The sequence below is a fragment of the Homo sapiens genome, chromosome 5 (genome assembly GCF_000001405.40).
Source record: "Homo sapiens chromosome 5, GRCh38.p14 Primary Assembly".
Lineage (NCBI taxonomy): Eukaryota > Metazoa > Chordata > Mammalia > Primates > Hominidae > Homo > Homo sapiens.
Window position 1 is genome coordinate 168,047,715 of NC_000005.10, and position 17,816 is coordinate 168,065,530.

Below are 17,816 nucleotides of genomic sequence, written 5' to 3' on the forward strand. Positions count from 1 at the left end.
GCTGTTCCTGTCTGTTAGCTGTGTTTGGCTGGATCACTCAGAGCTGGCACAGTGCCTGCTCAGAGCAATGTGCATACCTATGCTATCTGCAGCAACTGGCATGGTCCAGAGCTACTTGAAAGCATCCCAGGGCCTGTGCAGAAACAGCAGCCACAGCAGCAGCTGGAGTGGCAGCAGCAGCAGCAGCAGCAGCAGGAGAAAGTCCTGCCTAATCAGAAGGCAGAGAGCAGCAGGCAGCACATGCCATCAGACTGGGTCCCTCTCCCAGGAGACATGCAGCCTCCCTGGGGAGGAAGCTGCCTGGCTTGGCATGAAAGAGAAAGGCTCAGAGCTGCTGTGCTTTGGGGGAGAATAGAAAGGAGTTTTGACAACTCGGCAACAAAGCTTCTCTTCTCAGAACAGTGAAGGGGACAATAGAAATGTTTATTGAAGCAATCAGGCAACTGTATCCTTGAAGGGAAAAAAAAAGGTGCTAACAAGGTGCTAAGAAGGAGGAGAGAAAACAGAACCATAGGGTGGGGGTGGGGGAGACTGGAGCAATTAAGACAGAGCAGCCAATGGAATGGTTAGCCAGGCTGGCACGCAGTGAGATATGCTTAATTCGGGATGGAAATCGCAAGGGAGAGATTGTATTAAAGGATTTCTCCAACATGCAAATTTCCATTCTGCCTTTTAGCATCTATAGCCACTTCACCCCCACATTTCGGAAACACCCTACAGGGATATTTCAAAGAAGGGAAAGGAAGCAGCATTTATTAGGCACCTATTGCATGCCAGGCTTAGCATTGTATAACTTTAACAACTTTAAAGGAAGGAAAAATCTCTCTGAGAAACTCAGGACCAGAAGGTATAGAAACTTACTCAAATAGGTACAAATTTGGACTCAGAGTTGTGCCCTGTGCATCTTTGGGCAGGAGGTTGGAGCTTTCCTTCAAGCAGTCATTTTCCACAAAGAAGATTCCAGAATTCATCTGCCCCCAGAGGTGCACATTAGTCATCCTGAGATGCTAATGCTGCTTCAATTATCCTCCCCAGAGCTGTCCTAATGCTTTGAGGATGACTTTTTTGTCTTTTTATCCAGTCTTTAAGAATCGCTGTACTCATCTGTCATAATCATAACACTAAATTACCTTTAAGTAAGCATGAAAAAGTTTTATCTGAGGATGAAATTATATGCTTTCCATAATCGGGTAAGTTAAACTAGACCTAAAACTGAAAAGTATATTTTGCCTTAACTGACCATGTTCTGCCTTAACTGACCAAAAAGCCCAGAGCCAAATGTATTGACCTCAGATTTGAAACCTGGTCACCTCCAGTACTTGACACTGTCTGCTCCTTCAGTTTTATCTAGGGCAATGGTTCTTAGTCATAGCATTTTTGCACCCCTAGAGGACATTTGGCAATGTCTAAAGACTATTTTGATTGTCACAGTTGGAAGGGGCATGGCAGGCATCTAGTGGATAGGGGTCAGAGATGCTGTTAAACAACCTATAATACACAGGACAGCCCCCTGTGATGAAGAATTATCTCCTTTCAAGATGACAATAGTGCTGCCCTTGGAAACTCCACTTTATGGGGTCTCCGTCACGTTTTATCCATAAATGTCCTTTAATCTACAAGTCAGCACCTCATCCCTTCAGAAGAATGCATAACACACATGTGAAATGAATATGCATATTCTATCATTGGGCACAGAGAAATTGTTTATATGTGTATACATTCTGAAATTATATGCCAATGCTTTTCGAGTAGTGTCCTTCATAAATGGGAATTAGTGATCTCTACTGGCCTCCGTAAATTAAGGTCAAGATCAAGCACTCCTCCCATTTGTGATAAGCCTCTATTTCTACCTCTGCTCCCCACCAGCTTTTGCATCCCACACCCATAGAACAAATCTTAAGAGTACAAGAGTATGCGTCTCTAAATTAACAAATGAAGAAACACTTTCCATTGTGTCTTTGGAAAGACCAGAATTTTTCCCCTCCTGTGCAACATGCTTTTGAAAATGTTGTTGTAGAAGTCATATAACATTACTAGTTCAGATATTTTCCAAATAAGTTATGTGACAGACAAAATGTTATTTTGTTTTTTTGTTTTGTTTTGTTTGAGACAGAGTCTCACTCTGTCACCTAGGCTGGAGTGCAGTGATGCAATCTCGGCTCACTGCAACCTCCACCTCCCCGGTTCAAGCAATTCTCCTGCCTCAGCCTCCAGAGTGGCTGGGACTACAGGCATGTGCCACCACGCCTGGCTAATTTTTTGTATTTTAGTGGAGACGGAGTTTCACCATGTTGCCCAGGCTGGTTGCAAACTCCTGAGCTCAGGCAATCCTCCCATCTCGGCCCCCCAAAGTGCTGGGATTACAGGCATGAGCCACTGTGCCCAGCAGAGACAGACAAAATGTTTGCCAAATCATTGTCCAGTGAATTTTGTCAATAGAATACTCAAGAAAAAAGTGTGAGAATTTAAAATTGCTTAGAGATGAAATAAAATTTGAAACTTAAAAAGAGATCAGATCTCTTCTTAAGTGGTTTTAAGGTTTGGCTTATAAAATGACTAAAATGTTTTCAGTTCTCTCACCCATGCCTATTTCTTTTATCAAAAGTGACCTTGGGTTTGAATTTGTATACCCAGTGACCTCCGCGCTCCCCATTCCCCAATTCTATACATTTAGATAACCTGAATCAATTCCAATCGACTTCTTTTCCAGTGTTTCAAAGAGACAATCAAGATATATTGGCAATAAGTTAATTAAATAACACCGCCTCCTTTTTTTGGTGTAGGATATTCCTTCACTCCAATGTTTTAACCAAGATACACCACACATTGCCAAGGAGGATAATCTCATTAAGCAATTACTGGATAAGTATCCAGCAGAAGCAAATTAAATGTAAGCAAAACACAGGCATGTGAGTCCCATCTAAGATGGCACATCGATAGAGATTTCATTACCTGGTCTTTAGGAGTATTTACATTCCTCAGGTTTGGGAACAAGTCTAATAGACAGGGCAGCCTACACACTCTGATATGTTGGTGGAAACAAAGCACTTGATTAATTAGTTGGGAGAGTACATTCTTTGGTCTTTGCCTTTCCGTTTTCCATTTGTTGTTGTTCGAGTCTTATTTTTCTTTCTTCCACTCTCCTTCAATTAAACCTTAACATGAATTGTTGCTGGCTTTCACATCAAGAAGAGGGAACACACAGTCTGCCAGAATCACTCACCATCTTGTGTGTATTTCTATGTTAAAAGGAATGAACTCATACATCTTCATTACAAGGGCATGGAGAACTTTCTCTGTAGATCTGGGATTAGATAAGCCTTGAGAAAGACGATTCAATACAGTATTCTGACCTGGTCAGATAACATAAGGGAATTCAGTTTGATTGGCCAGGCCCAGGGAAAGCATACAAGAGATTTTAAAGGGCGCATCATACGTACCCAATTTGTGCACAGATTTTAAGAAAGAATAAACTATCAAGTATAGAATTGCATGGATCATTCTCAAAACCTATCACTCATTTTAGATTCAAGTTGTCCTCTATATCAGGGGTCAGCAAACTACATCTCATGGACCAAATCTGGCCAGCTGCCTGTTTTTATAAATCAAGTTTTAATGGAACACCACCATGACTATTACCTGTTGTCTATGGCTACTTTCAGAATAAAATGGTGGAATTGAGTGGGTGCAACAGAGACTATATGGCCCAAAAAGCCTAAAATATTCACCATCTGACCCTTTAAAAAAAATAAAAAGTTTGATGGCCACTCTGTATCATTGCCAATCCCATTTCCACTTTTCTAGAACTTTTCCTATAACTATCCAAGTTATAGGAGTCCAGAAGAGGAAGATCAAACTCCCAATACATCACTTCTTCCTACTTGACCAAGCCCTAGTTATAATATATTCTTGGTAACTTTGCATTGGAAGATGCACTATAATATAGGATTTTGGAGTTGGTCTGGTGGATACAAACACCAGCTCCATCACTTAGCAACTGTATGACTGTAAGTGGGTCATTTGTTCTCTCCCAACCTCCAGTTCCTCATCTGTGAAATGCAACTCCCTCATAAGCTTGCTGTCCATCATAAATGAGATGACCCTTGTAAAACATTGCATGTGGCATCAGGCATGTAATAAATGATCCACGAGTCTTAGTTGTTGAAACTGATGTCATCTTTACATCTCTCAGCTGGTCCATTTAACAAGTTTCCATGGCCTGTCACATCTTTTGAGAGGCTATATTTTCCAAAGGTGAAGACCAACCAGGTGCAGTGGCTCACGCCTGTAATCCCAACACTTTGGGATGCGAAAGTGAGAGGATCACTTAAGGCCAGGAGGTCGAGACCAGCCTGGGCAACAAAGTGAGACCTCATCCCTATTTTTAAAAATATAAAAATAGGCCAGGTGCAGTGGCTCATGCCTGTAATCCCAGCACTTTGGGAAGCCGATCACGAGCTCAGGAGATCAAGACCATCCTGGCTAACATGGTGAGACCCCGTCTCTACTAAAAATACAAAAAAAAAGTTAGCCAGGCGGGGTGGTGGGTGCCTGTAGTCCCAGCTACTCGGGAGGCTGAGGCAGGAGAATGGCGTGAACCCAGGAGGCGGAGCTTGCAGTGAGCTGAGATCATGCCACTGCACTCCAGCCTGGGCAACAGAGCGAGACTCTGTGTCCATATATACACACACCCACACACACACACATATATATGTGTATGTATGTGTATATATATATATACACACACACATATACACACATATATATGTATATATATAAAATAAAACAAAGGTGAAGACGGCCTTCAGAATATGAAGATAGACAATACCACTTCACCTTTTTCCTTTACCTTCTAAGAATTAACCAAACCCCAGATGAGGATTTCTTCCCAACATTGGCTTGATGAGGTCAGTAGGAAGCAGGTCTTCCTATTCCAAAGGGCCAATGTGTACACCAAGTTGGCCCCTCCACACTGCATTATTTGTCTCACTGGAGCTTGAGTTCCATCATTGCCAGCCTGTCTGTTTTAAGCCCTACCATTCTCGGTTTATAACTCAGCTGTAAACATTTATTTGTGCCTGGAGCACATTTCCTTCCTACCCTTTGAAAAAAAAAATTAGAATTTCCAGATGGTATGCAAGTTGGAAAAAAATGGCAAAGACTGTTATTCTGTTTAGAAACATGTTTTTCTACACTTGCCCTTTCAGCAGAAACTTCATAATGATTTTTACTAGTTGGCTTAATGCGTGGTACTAGGAGCCAGATTAGCAGGGAGGTTCGTAAATTCTTCCGCTGGCTCTCATCAGCCTCTCAATGAACACAGCCCAGGGTTTTAAAATGATCACTTCCCTATATGGGGCTTTTCCAAAGTCGGTGAAGTTCCCAGAAGGGCAAAGGGTCATTATGTTTGAGCCAAACACCCCTTTACTGCACGTCTACTGGCAAATATACCAACATCCTAACTACCAACCCAACAACTCCCCTCATTTAGGAGGCCATGCTGTTCTACATTGTTGCAGATGGGTACTACTTACATGCACTTATACTGGTGGACTTTTGCTTTTGATTGCCACCCATAGCCCCATTCTAAATTGCATAGTTTCTGTTGTACATAGCATCATGGTGGCTTGACATGGGCATTAATAATGAGATCCAATTTCCCTTTCTGTGCATTTGCCCATATCCTCACTGGCCACACTTCTCTTTCAGAATTGACTTGTACACCCAGATATCTGGTCTATGATCTCTAAATATGTACCTGTGGTATACCTCTGATATGTTGGCCCTTCATACCCACGGGTATCCACAGATTCAACCAACCTCAGATTGAAAATATTTGGAATAATAATAATACACAAAATGCAAATAAAAATGATAGTATAACAACTATTTACATAGCATCTACATTGTATTAGGTATTATAAGTAATCTAGAGATAATGTGAATTATAGAGGAGGACATACATGGGTTATGTGAAAATACTACACCATTTTATATAAAGAGCTTGAGCATTTACAGATTTTGGTATCCACAGGGGTCCTGGAATCCATACCCTGTGGATACCAAGGGATGACTGTGGGCCTGAATGCAGTCAGCATAGGGGTTAGCCACATGGGTTTTAGTGTCTGTCAGACGTGGGTTTTGATCATAGATCTACCAGTAAAAAGCTGGGTGACCCTAAGCAAGTCACTTATCTTCCATGAACCTCAGTTCTCTCATCTGAAAAACAGGAAAAATTGTAAGAGTATCAGGAGATTACATGGTGATTAGCAGCCACTCAATAAATTTTAGCTACTATCAATAATAGTAAACTAAACTAAATATTAATGCAGGAGCAAGTTCATCTGAAGAGTCATAGGTATAAATACTTGTTAACGTTCCTAGCGGCAAAGAGTTGACTATTTTTATCTAAAGCAACAAATTGAAATTTCAAAAGATGTAAAAGCCACATGTAGTCCCAAGAGCTGAAACATTTTCTAAAAGTCATTATTGTGTGATGTTGTGAACACCATCACAGAAGCAGTGACTTTCAGGATGTAATTGCATTCCTAAAGTATAGCCAGCCAGCAGCAGGGTGAAGGCTGATGGGTTGCTGATGTCTCAGCTGAGCTGTATTCTTGGGCAGTCAATCTAAGGTCCTTGGAAGAATCTTTTCACTTATCTGTTGGTTAAACAGAACCCTCAGATGGTTGTCCTGATTCCCAAATAAATGGAAACGAGGTGTAATGACTGTAGCAATATTCTGAATTCAATTTTATTTGCAATAGATAAAAATATGTGAGGCAGAATAATCTGCAAGGCAGATTTATGCTGAGGTGCCTCCAGAGTTCGGTTAAGTTAGGAAGTATTAATATGAGGCTTCATTTCCCTGGTATGACTATGAGTCCATTCCCTTTATCACTTGTTTGGGGAATAGTTTCACTGTTTCTGTAAATGAATTATGGCAACATTTTCTGAAATGATTAGCTCCTAATGTAGCTATGGAAGGCTGTCATTTTGCTCAACATCAGTCGTGTTTAACTGGTTGAAATTTTAGGTACATATTTCAGAAATAGGTAATAGTTTCACATTTACATGAGCAATCTTCCGTGGAGTTATAGAGTTGGACTATCCTGTAAAATTGATCATTAGAATGTTGCCTCTAAAAACCCAGAAATCTCATCTCTAAGCTAAAGATGAACTAGCCAGAACAATTGTATCTTAAGCACGTGCTTCTTAGGGCAAAATGATCATCATGACACTTTTCATTGTGCAGCTCTTGGATAGACTGAAAGGTTTGCCATGGAAGCCCCAACTCTGGGAGACATGAACTGGACTGGTTCCTGCATGCCAGGGTGCCAGGCCTAGTCATTGCCTAGAACCCAAGGATACCAGTGAGATCCTCACAGAATGATTACAGGATGCTGTTTAATGCCTCTTCTCTTGATGCCCCTAATTCAATCTCAAAGTGAATTCATAGGACGCTGGACAACAGGCTGCCTAGATAAGAGATAATGGGAATACAACATACACCCCAACTCTGATGTTGACCAAAGAATACCTACTGTTATAGTCAATGCTTGATAAATATTTATTGCATGGAAGTATGAATGAATGGCCCACCCAACATTGCTTAGGACATTTCTTAATCATTGTTAAATAAATAAAATCTGGCTGCTTTTCAATAACGCAGACTGCACAGAGTTGCCCATGTGAGAAGCAGCTAGACCACACACCAACACCAGCAATTTGCAGAGAATGAACTGGTGATGCAGTTTTCTCTGACCATCGTATCTTAATACATGTGACCTGTTGTCTGCCCCTCCCAGTCTGCAGATGTACTGGTCACTCACTGTATATTGATTTCAGCTGCTCTGGAAAATGACTGCCAGTTTTATTAAGGGCTACTCCACCCATTGGCCCTCTTTCATTAATAGTGCCTACAGCAGGCAGCCTGTATTTTTTATTAGGCCATCACAAATTCACCCCCCGCAACTGAAAAAAAGTACTTACAGCTGATTTTAGGTAGCATCACAACAGACAGGACAGAAGGACGTAGAGCACCTACAATTTAGGTACAACATGCAGAAGCACCCCAAAATACAGATGAGTAGACAGACTCAGAGAGGGCTTTTGATTAGCCCAAAGGCACACAGCTGGTAGCTATCAGAGCTGGGATTCAAACCCAGGCTGACTAGCTCCACTGGGCAACATTGCCTCCTTAAGGTCTCAGAACTTCTCAATAGGATATTCAGCTAGACCTTAAAATGTCTAGCTAGGCATTAGACATTTTAAGATAAAGATAAAAATCTTAACTACTTTGTTTCCTTGCTGTCTGCCTCTCAGTGATGTCTTGTGAGGGACTCACCATATTGGTGGTCCTGGAACAGCTGGCATGGCTCAGGGAAGCCCAGCTTCAAGTCCTTCTTCATGGAACTCAGCCTGGCTTTGATGCTGTTCTTTTTGACCTTAGAGAACAACAGAGATCTGTCCTCCTGGACATCGGCCCAGAAATTTGACCTCCAGGAATAGAGTCACTGAGATGGTTCCCCATGCTGGCTGCAGCAATTTACAGAAAAACACCTTTTCTTTTTATCTCTTTGGAGGCAGTATTTGTACATTTTTCTCTTTTTCATTGTTTTTAAAATTACAAAAGTTATACACACTCATTTTCAAGATTTTTAAAAAGTATATAAAAAACTTTTCTTTTGCTATCATGAATATTTCTCTAACAATTGACAAATTTGAATAAGGCCTATAGATTACAGTCATGCATGGCAAAACAGTGTTTCAGCCAATGATTGGCCAGATATTCAGTACTGGTCTCATAAGATTATAATGGAGCTGAAAAATTCCTATCACCTAGTGACATCTTAGCTGTCCAAATGTTATAGTATAGTTACTTTTTTTATTAAGTTAGTGTAGCCTAAGTCTACAGTATTTACAAGGTCAAAAGTAGCATACAGTAATGTCCTAGCCCTTCACTTTCACTCACCACTCACTCACTGACTTAAACAAAGCAACTTCCAGTCCTGCAAATTCCATTCATGGTACGTGTCCTATACAGGTGTACCATTCATTTTTTATCTCTTATACCATATTTTTTTACTGTGTCTTTTCTATGTTTAGATACACAAGTACCACTGAGTTACAGTTGCCTACAGTATTCAATATAGTAACATGCTGTACATGTTTGTAACCTAGGAGCAATAGGGTATACCATATAGCCTAGGTATGTAGTAAGCTACACCATCTAGATTTGTGTGAGTATACTCACACCACTATGAAATTGCCTAAGAGTACATTTCTCAGAATGTATCCCTGTTGTTAAGTGACTCATGACTGTATATATATAGAGAGAAAGAATGTGTGTAAAAAAATCTATATATGTACATATATATGAGTAAAAAGTGAAAACCCCTCTTTCCAAAAGTGTAATTCAGTTACACACCTGAAGAACTTAATTTGAAAGCAAACACTAGCTTGTTTAACAATATGGATATCTTCTGTTAAATAAATCGAGCTTGTGAAAGTGAAGTCACCTGTTAACAAGCCTAAAAGCTTTCTAATAACTCCTCCTCCCTCCTGCTGACCCCCTACCCCTGTCGCCTCGCCCAACACACACACACACACACACACTCACTCACACTCACACTTCTTCATAGCATATACCCAGCAATGATCCTCCTGACCCACTCTGAGACCACAATAGGCTAATAAGGAATGCCATTTAAGATATCTTTGGGTCTGAGACACTCTAATATAGATATGGACATTGAGACTTTGAGAAATACACCTGCCTAAAACTAGCTAGCTGCTTAGTAACAAGGATGGAAATTCAACATAATCATTCATTTACACCTGTTCCTTCCACAAACATTTCGAAGTCATTAAGTCATGACTAGGACTCTTGACTTTTGGTTCTTAATCTAAGGATTTTCTCACCATATCACACCTCTCCCAGTTTGTTTGTTTGTTTGTTTATTGTTAAGATTTTACACAAAAGGCAAATTAAGCATTTGCTCATGACTCTTCAAAAGGATCCACAAGAAAAGTTATTTCAATAGTAAATTTCATATAGAGCTTCTAAAATTTTATTTTATTTAATAAATAAAATTCAGTTTACATGTTGTCAGGTTCTAACTGAGGTCTGAGGGGAGTCGGTGGGAGAGTGGTGGGTAGCTGGAAAAACCCTCAAAGAATCATAGACAGTTTCAATATGGCTTTACTCTCTCTCTCTCTCTGGGCATGAGTGAGCCTGGGTGCGAGCCTGGTTGCAAGCTGGATGTACAGCATCAGCAGGGTAGTTATACCTTTTACAGACAATAGTGGCTCCCAGCCAAGCACAAGCTCACATGAGTGGTTACCTAATGCGCCTCACATGGCATAATTACATAATGAGCGGAGTTGTGCGCCTGTGCTCCAAACTTGCTGAGTTATGCGTGACAGGATGTCTCCCTCGGCCTAGACCGCAGCACATCCATTTTCCTTACACATGTAGATTTTCAAAGTAAATCTTTGTTAAGGCTCTCACTTTACCCTGTCATCACAGGGGTTTTGTTACAATACCCCACCAGATGGATTTGTAGAGTTTGATCCAGTTCAATAAGCATTTATAGATCACTTACATTTGCCAGGTGCAAAGCTTAGAGAACCTAGAGATGAATCTGCATCTCTGCCTGACCTCAGGGAGCACAGTGTCCAGAGACAGAGACTTAGGAAGGCATGCAAAATCAAGTACAATACCTAACAACATCTGCTGTGGGCTGCAGAAAAGCATAATTGCTATAGAAACACAGAGAAAACAATTTTGTCTGGCTGAGGACAGTGGTTGGGGTGGTATTGTAAAGGAAAGTAGAACTTTAGTGTGAAGGTGCACTTGACCTGAACCAGGCCCTGACTCCCAGTTTTAAGCTTGTCCCCATAAATGAATCTATTCCAGAAAAATAAGACTCTTGATAGAGAGCTAGATATATACAAATAGACATTTAGACATTCATGTATATTGCATGTGCCCACACTATTTTTTGTCTCTTAGAGAATTCCTTACTCTGCAAAGAAAGCCAGATGCTTTCCCACATAGTTTTTCATCCTTTTTTTCATTCCATGTAAGAACTTAGCAATTATTTCATGATTATTTCATGTTAGGCACTATACTAATCTCTCTTTTGTGTGCTTCTACTTGTTACACCCTCCAAGGCAGTTAGAACTATTGTTCCCATTTTACAAAAAAAAAGGACTGGAAATCCAGAGAGGTTAAGCAAATTGCTAGAGGTCACACAGCATAAAAGAAGCAGAGCCAGGATTCAAACACAGTTCTATCTGACTTCTGTACTTCATCCCCCAGGTGCACTCCCTTATTTAGTGAATGGGATGAGGAAGCGAGGATCTAAAACCCTAAGGGGCACTGTGACTACTGAGGAAGTAGCCTGTGCTGGCTGGTAGTGGGAGCTAATTTAGTCAGTGTCCTGAGGCCAGGGTGTAATAAGGAAGAGGACCTCACTGCTATAAGAAGCACTGGGGCTCCTTGTCTGAATTTCTCCAGAACAGCTGCTCCCTGGAGACAAGTTCCCTTGCACATCTCCAGCATCTGCATCTGGCTTGATATCACAATCCATTCAGGTTTCCACAGTAGATTAGAACACTCGTGGGTGCTGATTTCCTGCCTCTTTTTCATATCCTGTCATTAACCCAGCAATGCCGGAAAGCCCAACAGACATAAAGGAAAGCCAAGCTTATTAAGTTAAAGATGAATCATGTTTTTAAAGTTTTCTTTTTTTATTTATAATGCATTTCTTTAACTTGTTGCCATGCTGATTGCTGGGGTTTCTTTTGGTACCTATCAGAGGCCCACACACTCTTCTTCCCCAGGCGGCTCTCTTACTATGTCCCTTCCTTACTCCTTTTTATATTATTATATTCCTTCTTTTTATTTATATCCTTTTTATTATATCCCTTCCCCAAGGAAGGGGTATCAAATGCAGCATTTTAAAGTAAAATTTAGTTTCCAGTTTATAGTAATGAGAGCTCCTGATCAACTTGTTGTGATAACAAGTGTTTCCCCCTGGACATGCCATTGTTTTAGCAAAACCCCCAAATAAACAACACCTAATTTAGGGTTAGGGCCTTACAGGTAATAATACTTATTTTGTGCCAGAAATTATTCTAAGAGCTTTACACAGCCTAACCTCAGTAAAACCTTATAACAATCCTGTGAAATAAATAGTGTCCCATCTATACACATGAGGACACTGAAGCAGAGCAAGATACATTTAGCCAGTATCAAAGTTAGGATTTGAGCCATGGCAATTTCAGCCCAGGGTCTCTGCTCTTAAACATGATGCCGTATTCCTCCCCCTGCAGGTAAGTAATCAGTATCCATTAGAAAAGTTAGCCAACATTTAAAAGTTCATGCTGGGTGTGGTGGCTCACAGAGGTAATCCCAGCATTTTGGGAGGCCAAAGCTGGAGAATCACTTGAGAACAAGAGTTTGAGACCAGTGCCTGGGCAACATAGTGACACCTTGTCTCTACGAAAAAAAAAAAAAAAGAAAAAAGAAAAAAACTTTAAGCAGACAGGGATGGTGGTCCATGCCTATCGTCCCAGCTAATTTGGGGGGCTGAGGCAGGAGGATCACTTGAGCCCAGGAGGTCAGGGCTGCAGTGAGCTGAGATCGTGCCACTGCACTCTAGCCTAGGCAACAGAGTGAGACCCTGTCTCAAAAAAACAAACAAAACAAAACAAAAGTTCAGAATGTTTGCTAAATAAACCGTCTAGTCCCCATCTGAAGGTCTGAACCACTCAGGACTTCTGGCTGTTTATTTTATTTTTAAAGATGAGATGTGAAGGAGGCTTCCAAACTTCCTTTCGGACCTCATTCCCTACTTTTATTATCCTAGAAGTCAAAGGGTTATTCTTAAGATCGAAACCAGTGTTTCTCTTGCTTTATTTTAAGTCCCTGCTGGCTTCGTATTGAGCTGCATAAAAATCAATCACCTCATATTTTAAAGAAAATAAGAGGGAAAAACTTTATATCTTCAAATCACTCTGTGGTTTTCTTTTATAATTTAGACATGAAAGACCTTCAGAGACCAAAAGTGTCATCTCTCCATTTTACACATAGAGAAACTGGGACCAAGAGACAGTGTCAGACAGGCTCGCTCACCGTTTAGGCCAGTCTTTAGCAATTTTCTCATTTCTCAGGATCATCTGAAACCTTTGCAATATCTGGTGGCCAAATGATAGATAAATATTTTTAGAAGAGTTAGTCCTTCACAGAATGTCGAGGGGAGCATCCTGGCCCCATCAGGCTGAAGAAATTTTTGGATCTACAAGGTCACAAAAGTGATCGGGGGTTCCAGAAATGAAAAGACTCCCCTCAAAACAAGAATGACCTCAGTTCTTTCTGTTTTATTTCAGTTGGCTCAGCAGTTCTTAGGAATATAGAAGAATAATATTTTATATTTCTTAGCAAGTTCAGAATCGATTTGAAGGAATCACAAATGGCCTTTATACTGAGACTTTTTTTCCCCATTTTAGAGATAAGGAAAATGAAGCTCTCAGAGATTGATTAACTTGCTTTTCTTGGGCAACTGCTAGTCACGCTCAGCTTTTCCTTAATTCTGTGGTTGCAAGGGAAACCACACTTGGAAGTATAGGGGGTGCTGACTGGTTCATTGTTTTTAAGAACTCCACTTTAAAAATAGATATTTTTGGAATTCCTATTATTAAAGTTCTGAAGGATACTGAGTGTGGGCAACCAATATTTTCAACATAAGCAATTTTAAATAATGCAACAGAGATGCATTAATATAAATGAAGGAGAGATGTTGTTTCTCTGCGGCTCTTAGACTTCTCCCTCTAACTCAAGATCTGCTTGAGTTTCAAGTCTTCATTTTCTACTGAGTTGTTTTATTTATTCTGGGCTGATTTTTGTTGAAAATGTCAGAGTATATTTGTGTCTAGAAAGAATAATGAAAGGCTACAAGAATTAAATTTGGTGCCAAATTAACATCACCCTCCCCTCCCCTGCTGATAAGTTTTACATCCCAGTCACATTTGGGATAGTTGGAAGCTTTACATGTATTTATCAGGCTCCAGATCTGATTATATTTGATCAGTAAAGAGTAATAACATAATTTTAGAAAGCATTGTGCCAAGATTTCGGATGCCCTGGGGTGTGCATTTATAGCTTTGTTATTTGAAACCTAAATGTTTTAGCTGTAACTTAAAAAGAAACTTGCCATGAGTTTAATCTTAATATTAAAACAACAACAAAAAAAAACCTGGCATGTAATTAAACAAATATAGAGCCAACTAATCTATACACGTCATTGACTGCTGTTTATTCCTTTTTTTTTTTTCAGTGCCCTGGTCGTTGAAAAACAGCAGCATAGACAGTGGTGAAGCAGAAGTTGGTCGGCGGGTAACACAAGAAGTCCCACCAGGGGTGTTTTGGAGGTCACAAATTCACATCAGTCAGCCCCAGTTCTTAAAGTTCAACATCTCCCTCGGGAAGGACGCTCTCTTTGGTGTTTACATAAGAAGAGGACTTCCACCATCTCATGCCCAGGTATGACCATGTTTGATGTAATCAAGCATTTAAAAAAATATATACGTATATATGTGTGTGTGTATATATGCCACTTCACATCCACTACAATGCCTATAATTAAAAGATGGACAATAAAAATGTTGGCGAGAATTTGGAGAAATAAGAACCCTTGTACATTGCTGGTGGGAATGTGAAATGGTGCAGCTGTTGTGGAAAAGAGACAGTTTTTCACAAAGTTAAATGTAGACTTACCATGTGATTGAGCAATTCCACTTCTAGGTATATACCCAGAGAAAATTGAAAACACCATTTTCTTACAAAAACGTATGTATCAGTGTTCATCATAGCCTTATTTATGATAGCCAAACAGTAGAACCAACCCAAATGTCCAACTGGTGAGTGGCTAAACAAAATCCGATATAGCCGTACCATTAGTCAGATATAGAAAGGAATGGAGTATTGTTACATGCTACAACATGGATGAACTTTAAAAACACTATGCAAAGTGAAAGAAGCCAGATACCAAAGGCCACATATTGCATGATTCCGTTTATGTGTTTTGTCCAGAATAAGCAAATACATAGAAACAGAAAGGAGGTTAGTGGTTGCCAGGAACTGGGAATTGGGGCTAACTGCCACGGGGTTTTTGGGGGGTAGTGATAGTAATGGCCTGAAATGAGGTGATGGTTTACCCAACATAGTGAATACACTCAAGCCACAGCATTGTAAAATCACAAAAGCTACCCACCTTACAGTTATTCACAGTGTCGTATGAATTTTATCTCCAAAAAATAAATGCTAATATCCCAACCTGATGAAAACAGCTTTACTAGGTTTAGGGGTTAATCACTGGGTACTTTCTGTTCAGATGTTCTGGTTATTGGATTAATTTGTTAAAATATCACTAGGAGACATCTCAGTATATATGAAAAGAATAATGTAACATAAACTAAAATTCAGCAGATGTTTCTCTGTGGCTCCCCTGTACTAAGTTCCTTGGGAAGTCCTTGGCACTATGAAAGTGAGATTATTCACAGCATTGGAAGTGAAGAGATTGGATTACATTATGGATTTCATTATTTTTTCTCTCATTCTTCCCTTAGTTTGTCGTGGTGGAAGTTCTATTATTATACATAACACCTGGGGTAAATTAACACCTACCTAGTTTGGTTTTCTTTTCCAATAAGAATTGTATATCCTGTGAAAAAACCAGTGGGTTTTTCCTGCCTTGTATGCCCTCAAATCCAGGAAGAACATAAGGTACATTAGGAAAAAACCCAAAACATGCATATATCCAGTCAAAGCTGACTTTGAAATGTGTTGGAAAGGCAATTCATCTAGAAAATTCAATTGGAAGAACTTAAAGCTATAAAAAAACCCATTGGCAAATGCAAGGTAGTCAGGCTACAATTTCTTTACCTTTAGCTCATGGCAGACATTGCTAATCAATGACAGCACTTTTCCTTACTGAGCCCAGTGCACACATACCTCCCATATAACTCTTAAGGCAGCCACTATCAATCGACCATTGTTGGCTCTCAAGATGAAACTGATTTGCAATCCCATCTTTACAGCCTAAAATGATCAATATAAGAACTAAAAGGACTATTTCTTTTTTGAGCAGGGAGAGCTGAGCTGTGTAGGTTTTTATGATCATACACAGCCCGTGCTATAGGGACCAATATGTAATGTGGTAATCAGTGAGTCCTCCATCCATCCATCCATCCATCCATCCATCCAGAAAAAATATTTATAGGGCTAGACACTGATTATCTGGAGATGAGTTAACACAGCCCCTGACCAAGCAGAACTCTTGATAACAGAAATCATATCTGCTTGTCAAAGAGATTCTCATCAAGACAAGAAGAGGAGTTCAGCTGAAAGGAATCCCTGGTGCATTTCTGTAGCTTCTGGACAGGCTGCAAGGTGCTGTTCTAAGAAGTTATGCAAATTGTTAAGTGGTGTCCTTGACCTTCAGGCTCCACTGATTCTCTTGTAGCAAAATGAAGGATTTACAGTAGTGAAATCCACTGATCGGCATTATTGAGGTAACTGTGAGCATGAATCTGGGCATCGCTGAGCATAACTTGCCTCTCAACCAGTTGCATGCAAGGAGCTTTGCTAAGAAAACTACTTCTTCCCCACATTACCCCCAAAGCTCTGCTTGCCCCCTTCTCTTGCATGCTCCAGGAAACCAGAATCATGGAAAAGCCAATGATCATGGCAAGTCAAGTTGGTAACTCTCTGTAACTGAGTGGTAGTGGACAGCAGGCAGAAGCATACTCTACCTGGCTTCCCTGCTGTTCTGACATTCAGGACTCAAATCCTCAATGACAATGTCTTTTCTTCCTTTGTGGCTACGCCACACTGTCCATCTCCTGCCTAGACTGTGATTGTTCTAGTGATTGTCCTCTCAAAATAGCTCCACTCCAGAGACAGCCCCATCGCACATTTCAAGGGAAGGGAAATGAATAGGCATGGGCTGATGTGTGCTGAGGTTTCAGTCCAGCTGCCAGTTTGAAAGTTCACTGTGTGTTGAGGGGTCAAGTAAGCAAGCCACCGTGCCGATGCTTAGAAATTCGCAAGACAGGTACAATATAGGGGCACTGTTTTCCAAAAAGAAAGAAAGAAAGAAAAAGACTCCGTATGTATTCTCACATTCATTCGCTGTCATTACATGCATTCATGTCCATTTGATGAACTACATTTCCTCAAGGAGACAGTGCTTAGCTCTTTGCGGGGATAGGCGACTGACGTCTCGAACTATTATAGAATTTCTCATTTTTATTGGTATATCCTATCAAGGAACATAAGTTCTATGGGGATTGGCAGTCTAGCCAAGGTGACTCATTTGAGCTGGAAAAAGAGAAAGTGAAAGAGGTGGGGTGGGGGTAGAATATGAAATTCTATTGGCTGTGCTACGTGAAATAGTTGTTTAAATTTTATTGAGTACCATGCTCTGACCAAGAGCCTACAAGGTTTAGTATCCTTGTCCAAGGATATTACATACCTGCTTAAATTTCCCAAGAATCAGAGTCTGTCCCAGCTGACTTTTTGAAACTGGCTTTTTATAGAGATACAGAGACAACATTGCATAGGAGAAAATGTCCAGAATGTAGACTCTGCCACACATTAACCAGGGGACCTTGAGCACGTCCCTTAACTTCTCTTAACTTCAGTTTCCTTTTCTACCTATGTAACCTGCTTCACAATACTTGGTTGTAATTACACAATAACAACAAAGGTAAGATGGGAAAACCCTTTGTAAACGAAAGCGCAATAG

General features: G+C 40.4%; 1 protein-coding gene across 33 annotated transcripts in view, besides 1 other annotated feature; it reads left to right on the forward strand.

Moving 5' to 3' along the window:
* The window catches only part of TENM2 (teneurin transmembrane protein 2), a 1,285,129-nt gene that overhangs the window by 1,068,686 nt on the left and 198,627 nt on the right, over positions 1–17,816 (forward strand). For all 33 annotated transcript variants that reach the window (XM_047417418.1, NM_001395460.1, XM_017009661.2 and 30 more), the window contains one exon: positions 14,346–14,551. In XM_047417418.1, coding sequence (XP_047273374.1) covers positions 14,346–14,551 — 206 coding nt within the window. The remainder of the gene's footprint in view (positions 1–14,345; positions 14,552–17,816) is intronic.
* Positions 15–772: an enhancer, noted in NCBI's record as "NANOG hESC enhancer chr5:167474734-167475491 (GRCh37/hg19 assembly coordinates)". NCBI's record gives its function as "activates a minimal SCP1, AML or CMV promoter by ChIP-STARR-seq in naive and primed H9 embryonic stem cells {active_cell/tissue: H9 hESC(naive and primed)}" and the evidence as "EXISTENCE:reporter gene assay evidence [ECO:0000049][PMID:30033119]".